A 7065-nucleotide genomic window follows, 5' to 3' on the forward strand; every position below is an offset into this window, starting at 1 on the left:
AAAAATAAAAATAAAGAGAGCAAGCATTTTGTGAGCTTGGGTTCTCTCTTATGTAAGGAAGGTAATTTGCAGAAATATGTCTGTAGTTATCTACTTTAAATACAATGCAAATTGATAAAATACAGTAAAAGAAACATATATTTTTGAAAATATATTGAAAGTGTTGAAGGGACTTGATAGAAGTGAGTTTCTAAAAAGTATTTGCTATTAAATTGAATGAGGGAGAATGGAAACTATAGAATATTGGAGAAAACATTGGGAAACCAAAACTGAATCTAATAGTCAATAAGCATGGCTGTAGATGCAATACTAGTAATAATCATCGTTATTTGTTCCTATTCATATCGTTTACTTTTAAAACCTATAAATTAGGGAGTGACTGTATGATTTCAGATCCATCTTTCTCTTTCTCTTCTTCAGCATCTTACTAAACTTTAAACCCAGATAAATTTCCCCAGTGATTTGCCTTATAATGTTTCTGTTCTAAACCTTGCGTTTAGAAGCTTCCATATAATTTGTGCAGCCATATCTAGTAATGGGCCAATCAATATCCCCCCACCCTGACCCTGTTCCTGTCATAATCACAACTAGATCCTTACTCGAGAAGCTCCGTTAATCCCTAAGCATCCTCCACACCCTGGGCAGTACCGTATTTTGCTATTTCACTAAGTCTCAGCAGAATTGCCAACTACCTGAGTTAGCACCCCTTGTAAATAGATCAATCTCTTTTGCAGTTAAACCCTTTAGAAAAACAAAATCATCTCAAAGACAAATACCCCAAAGTGTCTGCTGCTCTTTTTTTTCCTCAAAGATAAAATTCTATGTGCATTTTTTCCTAGAATGATTTCCTGTCAAACAGCCGCACCCATAAATATTGATTTGACGTTGACTTTTTATTTAAAATCCACCAGAAATACACTCCAGCAACATGTACTCAGGCAGGTGCCCATGCATGCACTCGTGAGACCTTTCTCTGTGCTCCTCTTGTCCCTAGTTTAAGTCACTGCACACCTGAATTTTTACCATCCTATTTCTCTCCCTAATGTTTCCTGAGGGTGAGGGTCATGGGAACTGTTTTGAAGCCCTCATCCTTGATGGAACGTGCACCGTTCACCTAGGAGAAAACTCTTTCCTTATTTGGAAGTTGTCTTGTTGAAGACAAGGATGGCTGGCTCCGTGGATAGGGTTCCATGTTTTAGGATTCACATTCACCATTTTCCACTGGCTGAACTTTCAACATCATGGCTCACACCCCTCAACTTTCTGCCCCTCCGAGATGCTTTCTCTCACTCTGCACAGGTGGTTTGAGAATCCTGCTTTGTCCTCCCTTAGCTTTTGTTGAATTTCTTTGTCTTCAAATGCTTGTCTTTCTTAATTGTAGACAATTGCTTATTTTTCTCTGTCCTGATATACTGCTAACTACCTTGATTTGAGGATTTTCATCTTCCTCAATTTTGTAAGCCAAACTCGAAAGGGCAACCTGCAAGTGACATACCATCGGCATCAACAAACACCAAAGGGGCCCCTTGAATTTATGCCTTCATTTGTGCAGAGTGGCTCTATGATGCAAAGGTAGAAATATCACTTAAATAGTGTTAAAGTGGATGCATGGTGTTTTATGCCTTTCCAACAGCCATAGTTACTAACAACGGTGATATAGAAGAAAATTGTCTGGAGAAGAAGGAAACTTAAGAAAAAGATAAAAGGAGAAAAAGAACATTTTCAAGTTAGTTGCTTTCACAAATAACATTAACTAGCATTTTCACCTTCCACCTCTACAACTTCCACAGACACTGAGACGAGTCACCTCTGACCCACCTACATGCTACTTCTAGAACATAACATTCATTCTAGGAAAGGCAACTAAGGGATGCTATATCAGTGAAGAGTGTGAAAAAAATATGCATCTTCTGTATTCATACTTGGGAATGCATCTAGTAAACACCCCACTGACTTTTTATAATTTCTGCATGTAACAAGTTTACATTCCCTATAAACATAGCCTTACAAATAATATCATCTGCAGGAAGGTAATATACCTAATATATCACACCTAAAGAGTTGGGAGAGGTATACGTCTTTAATCTTCAATCTGTTAAAGTATTTTAAATAATAGCATTGCCAAAAATCACACTTTGATGAGACAGGTGAAGGACCGTGGAAGCCTGGGACATCCAGCAGTCTCGCTTAGGTACAAATGTCTGCCTGCACCAAGTTTATTGATAAGCTGAAGCACAGGAGCAAAACATTGGCACAAAGAGAGCCCCCCTTTCTGGAAGGGCCTTGGACTTTCCAGTGATGCCTCCCGAGGGTGCTTTCACTACACTGGGATGTGCTTGGTTTGGGAGAATCTGGAATGTGTGAGTTAGAATTTAGAAAAAAGAGGTGTTTGGTTCTGGGGGGGTCACAGCTTTTTACTTGGTTAATCACTCGGATAATGTCTCTGAGAGTCTCTGAACTCTGACCTCCAGCCAGCTGAATCCCGTAAATCCGTATGTTCGATATTTATTTGCAATGAGCAATGAAGATAGGTGCAAGTATATTGATACAGTTTGGATGTGCATGGCTCCCAAATCTCATGTTGAAGTGTGATCCCCAGTGTTGGAGGTGGGGCATGGTGGAGGTGTTTGGATCATGGGGTGGATCCCCCATGAATGGCTTGGGCCATGCCCTTGGTGATGAGTTCTCACACAGTTCACAGGAGATCTGGTTGTTTAACAGAATGTGGCACCTCCCCCACTCTTTCTCATGCTCCCACTCTCCTCATGTGATGTTCCTGCCCCTGCATCTCCTCCTGCCATGATTGTAAGCTGAGCTGGTGCCAGTACCATGCTTGTTCAGCATTCAGAACCCAGAGCCAATTAAACCTTTTTTTCTTTATACATTACCCAGTCTCAGGTATTTCTTTATAACAACACAGGAATGGCCTGGAACATATATCAGCTAAACATATCAATTTTTGAGAAATTGCCCCCTCATCTTGCAGCTGGTAAACCACTGCCCCCCATTGGAATTTTGCAAGGAGGTATGGTCAAGGTCAACATTTCCTCACTGGTGTTCACTTGGAGGGAAGGAGGAAGTCCATGAGGTATCATCTCACTCCAGTCAAAAGAGCTACTATCAAGAAATCAGGCCAGGTGAGGTGACTTGCACCTGTAATCCCAGCACTTTGGGAGGACGAAGTGGGCAGATCACTTGAGGTCAGGAGTTCGAGACCAGCCTGGCCAACATGGTGAAACCCATCTGTACCAAAAATGTAAAAAAAAAAAAAAAAAGCCAGGTGTGGTGGCATGTGCCTGTAATCCTAGCTACTCGGGTGGCTGAGGCAGGAGAATCACTTGAACCCAGGAGGCGGAGGTTGCAGTGAGCCAAGATTGTGCCACTGCACTCCAGCCTTGGTGACAGAGTGAGACTCCGTCTCAAAAAATAGAAATCAAAAGAGAACAAGTGTTGGCAAGGATATGGATAAAAGGGAACCCTTACACACTGCTGGTGGGAATGTGAGTTATTACACCCATTATGGAAAACAGTAAGGAGGTTCCCAAAAATAAAAAAAATAGAACTATCATTCGATCCAGCAATCTAACTACTATGTACCTACCCAAAGGAAAAAAAATCCGTGTGTCAAAGAGCCTTCACACCCCCTTGTTTTTTGCAGTACTATTCACAACAGCCAAAGTGCGGAATGGATTTCAGCGTCTATCAGTGGATGCATGGATAAATAACATGTGGTACGTATACACCATGGAATGTGATTATTTGGCTATAAGAAGAATGAAATCCTATTGTTTGCAGCCATAGTTTCTGGGGTGAAACTAGAGAACCTTAAGTGAAATAAGCGAGGAACAGAAAGACCAATATTGCATGCTTTTGCTCATATGTGGAGTCTAAAAAGTTGATCTCGTACAAGTAGAAAGTAGAATAATGGTTTCAGGGGATGAGGAGGATTGAGGAGAGGAGAGAATAGGGAGAAATTGGTCAAAGGGGACAAAGTTCCCATTAGATCGAAAGAGGAGGAACAAGTCCTGGTGTTCTAGTGCACAGCAGGGTGACTGGTTAACAATAGCGTATTTTATATTTCAAAATAACTGGAAAAGAGGTTTTTGAATGTTGTCATCACAAAGAAATGATAAAGGTTTAAGAAGATAGGCTGATTTGATCCTTAAACAGCTTACACATGTGTCAGGACATTAACTTGTAACCCATAAATGTGTATGATTATTATGTAACCCATTATAAATAAATAAAAAGTAAAATACAATTTAAAAATTTTTTAAAATCCAGAAAAATCAACTGTTTTTACAAAACATAAAAAGAATGGAAGGCAAAGGCTGAGGGTATTTATGGGAGACATGTGAATACAGCGGGGAAGATTTTAGAAGCTGTTTTCCCGTGGACACCTTGAGTTGAGTCCACACCCTGATGGGAATGAGACATCCCAGGCCTCGGAGGTGCTGGACACGATCCGTGCAGGTTGTGAGAAACCCCCCACCCCCAACACACACACACAGCTCCTGCTGCTGTCTCCTGTAGCCTTCTCTCCCCGAATCGGTTCTGTGGAGGAAGCCACGTGTGGCCGGCTGTGCCTGTAAGCTGTTTGGACAACAATTTCTGGGCTGTTCCATCCCTGGTCACTGCTTGACCTAACAGCCGACTCAATCCTTTTGGTTAAACAGCAAGTTAAGCCTCTTTGTTTGGGCCAGAGCCATGCGTGCTCGGACGTCTGCTGGGAGATCTCTGAAACAGCACAGCTCTTGCCTGTAGCTGTACAATCTCCTCTCTTCCCCGTTCCTTTCAGGATTATGTGTGTACTAGCAGCGTTTTCACAGTGAAAACTGCACAGACCCTCTCCCAGGGCTCCCCGCGAGCCCACTGATCCACACCGGAGCCCAGGGCCAGCCATTTCTGTATGGCTTTTGACTGGCTGCAGGCTCTGCAGACCCATGCTTGTTGGTGTGAGTGCTGCTGAGTCCGGCCCAGATCCTACAGAAATGACTGTGAGAATGATGAATAACGTGGCATGTTCAGACAGAATCAATCCACAGGACGTTAAAAACACCCTGTCTGCCATTTGGACAGGAAAGTTCCAGGCTTCAGCTCCCAGAAACCACCTTCCTTCATGTGGAGGGACGCAGCCTCATAAGGTCAGAATGAGGGCCTGGAAAGTCAGGGTGTCCGGCCAGGCCTCTGGGGGTCTGAGGTTATTTTGGGGGGTGACAAATGAGGACACACATAGAGCATGTAATGTCTCTGGGAATTTAAAATATATAGATGTGTTTTCTTTCCGCTTTTGCACAGAAGACCAGATTTCATTAATGTTTTGTGTCATGTTATTTCACATTTTTGGGTACTGTTATTTCATTAATGTTTTGGGTCCTGTTATTTCATGTGTAAAATCTGCATAAATGGCAAAAATGTATTCCCTTTTCTTTTGATATCATACTGATATTACTCTGGATGAAACACCTATATTCTTTGAATACACAGAGTTCACAAAGAAAGATACATTTTACACAAATCCCTTTATTTTTAGAATTGCACGTAACTGTTCCATCCTTTCCAGTGCTTGACAAATATTAGAACTGTGGACAGATACAGTCCGAGGCCTGTTTCCCTTTGAATGATGACATTCCCTTGTCATTTTGATTTTGGAAATAATTGCATCTTTTGGATGGATGAATTAACTTTACCAGAGAGGTAAGTATTCAAATATCATGCAAAATTAAATAAAAGAAGAAGTGCTGTTCAAAATAGAAACACACATACCCAATGAACTGATCAGAAAATACTTACAGGAGGAGAAGCTTGGATAGTAGCTGGCTGAAAGCCATTTTATTTTCCCAAACCACGCCTTTACTCTCTTAACTTAAAGAATGTGCCTTTTAGAAACTTTGTGGTTTTTTTGTTTGTTTTTTTATTTTATTTGAGACAGTGTCCTTCTCTGTCACCCAGGGCTGGAGTGCTGTGGTGCCATCATGGTTCACTGCAGCCTTGACCTCCAGGGCTCAAATGATCCTCCCATCTCGGCCTCCCAAAGTGCTGGGATTACAGATGTGAGCCACTGCACCTGGCAAGAAACTTTTCCATTAAAACACAATGCTCCGAAAGGTTTGTTGCAGGTAACGCGTTCCTTGTATTCAGCAAGGGCGGTATATCTGCAGTGTCTTCTTCCTGGGCCTACACTCTGTGAAGGTCAATCTCATACTCAACCCAGTGTGCTGAGAAACAGGAGAGTGACTGATACAAACAACTTATTTGAGCATATTTACCTGAAACAGTATTTAAAAAACTGAGCATATCTTATGACAAGAATCTCATGCTTTAAAACTCTAAACTATATCCCTATGCAAATTACTGACAATATACGTTTTAACATCAGCATTGTACTTTTAACCTTAGGTCTAGGGTTACCAAGTGCTGTGGCACTGCTTTGATACCTTATAGTTTCCAGTTCTAGTTTACAAACATAACATGCCTTTATAGTTCTCAGCGCTCCTTAAATATGTGGATTGGAATTCTAATTCCTTTAAATTTCATGTTGAGTTCTCAGTTTCTCTGCAGCTACTATAGCTGCTCTGAGTTGATGTAATTCAAAGTCTCTTTAAAAGAAGCTAGGGCATTTCTCTGTTATGCAATTCCTTCTGTTGCATTGGAGAAACACCGAGTAATGCAGCCACGTTGGGAAATGCTGTCATTCCCAAATCTAAGTATCCTTTAATGGGACCTACTGAAAAAAGAAGAAGAAGAAGAAGAAATGCCAGTACCTTTCTTCCACTGAATTGCTTTGGACACATGCTGCTGCTGTTGTTGAACTCACTGCTTTTGTATACGAATAATAAGTTTCCAAGCTGTGGGGAGGAAGACCCCCCTGATGACTTACAACCCCTCTCAGATCCCATGACCCTACTGCCTCCACCATCAGATCCCACAGCAGCGGACTTCGGGGATGCCGTGAGATCCAGGGGTGCCTGGGAACGGTTTGCCTCTCCCTCTGTGCCCTGCCCAGCCCTGCGGCCCACGCGTGTGCGTGTAGCACAGTTTGTTCTTCTAAGGACACGTTCCAGA

This window comes from Homo sapiens, chromosome 10 (genome assembly GCF_000001405.40).
Source record: "Homo sapiens chromosome 10, GRCh38.p14 Primary Assembly".
Classification (NCBI taxonomy): Eukaryota; Metazoa; Chordata; class Mammalia; order Primates; family Hominidae; genus Homo; species Homo sapiens.